Source organism: Homo sapiens, chromosome 2, assembly GCF_000001405.40.
Source record: "Homo sapiens chromosome 2, GRCh38.p14 Primary Assembly".
NCBI classification, from domain to species: Eukaryota; Metazoa; Chordata; class Mammalia; order Primates; family Hominidae; genus Homo; species Homo sapiens.
The window spans coordinates 210,246,377-210,247,855 of record NC_000002.12 but is presented as its reverse complement, the minus strand read 5'-3'; the positions used below and the strand labels follow the sequence as shown (position 1 = coordinate 210,247,855).

At 40.4% G+C, this 1,479-nt stretch overlaps 1 annotated feature.

The window, feature by feature from the left end:
* Nucleotides 566-1,133: an enhancer, noted in NCBI's record as "OCT4-NANOG hESC enhancer chr2:211111447-211112014 (GRCh37/hg19 assembly coordinates)". NCBI's record gives its function as "activates a minimal SCP1, AML or CMV promoter by ChIP-STARR-seq in naive H9 embryonic stem cells {active_cell/tissue: H9 hESC(naive)}" and the evidence as "EXISTENCE:reporter gene assay evidence [ECO:0000049][PMID:30033119]".

Genomic DNA, 1,479 nt, shown 5'->3' with positions numbered 1-1,479 from the left:
GTATGTAAAATTATTCTCTCTTTAATAGAATGTTTCAAGCATAAAAATATTATACAATAATATAACAACCACCTGAGTACTCACCACAAAGGTTTTCAAATATAAGTTTACAAATAGAAATGAACTATTTTGTAAAACTCTCCCGTGATCCCATTCCTGCCCTCCCCATCATGAAGTAACTGCTATTCTGATTTAGTTCTTATTATGTTGCAGGAAGTCAGGGACCCCGAATGGAGGGACCAGCTGAAGCTGTGGCAGAAGAACATAAATTGTGAAGATTTCATGGACATTTATTAGTTCGCAAAATCAAAACTCTTATAATTTCTTATGACGGTCTTTAATCTCTTAATCCTGTTATCTTCATAAACTGAGGATATATGTCACCTCAGGACCCTGTGATGATTGCGTTAACTGTACAAATTGTTTGTAAAGCATGTGTGTTTGAACAATATGAAATCTGATTGTAAAACATGGGTGTTTGAACAATATGAAATCAGTGCACCCTGAAAAAAGAACAGAATAACAGCGATCTTCAGGGAACAAGGGAAGATAACCATAAGGTCTGACTGCCTGCGGGGCCAGGCAGAACAGAGTCGTATTTTTCTTCTTGCAGAAAGCGAATAAGAGAAATATCACTGAATTCTTTTCCCAGCAAGGAATAACCCTGGGGAAGGAATGCATTCCCAGGGGTAGGCCTATAGACGACCACTCTGGGAGTGTCTGTCTTATGCAGTTGAGAGAAGGGATGAAATACGCCCTGGTCTCCTGCAGTGCCCTCAGGCTTACTAAGATTGGAAAATTCCAGCCTGGTGAATTCTAATCAGACAGGTTGTCTGCTCTTGAACCCTGTTTCCTGTTAAGATGTTTATCAAGACAATGCATGCCCAGCAGGACATGGACCCTCATCAGTAATTCTAATTTCGCCCTTGCCTTGTGATGTTGCTCTGCCCTTGTGATCTCTTATTGCCCTTTGAAGCATGTAATCTCTGTGACCTACTCCTTATTCGTACACCCCTCCCCTTTTAAAATCCCTAATAAAAACTTGCTGGTTTTGCGGCTCAGGTGGGCATCACGGAAGCTGCTGATATGTGATGTCGCCCCCAGAGGCCCAGCTGTAAAATTTCTCTCTTTGTACTCTTCCTCTTTATTTCTCAGACTGGCCAACACTTAGGGAAAATAGAAAAGAACCTACGTTGAAATATTGGGGGCTGGTTCCCCCAATATTATTATTCACATGCATATTTTATACTTTGATGACAAATGTGAATATTCATAAACTCAGTATACTATTTTTTAAACTTTTTATAATGATATGCTTTGGGTGTGTCCCCACCCATCTCATCTTGAATTGTAGCTCCCATAATTCCCATGTGCCATGGGAGGGACCTGGTGGGAGTTAACTGAATCATGCGGGTAGGTCTTCCCTGTGCTGTTGTCCTGATAGTGAATAAGTCTCATGAGATCTAATGGTTTTATAAA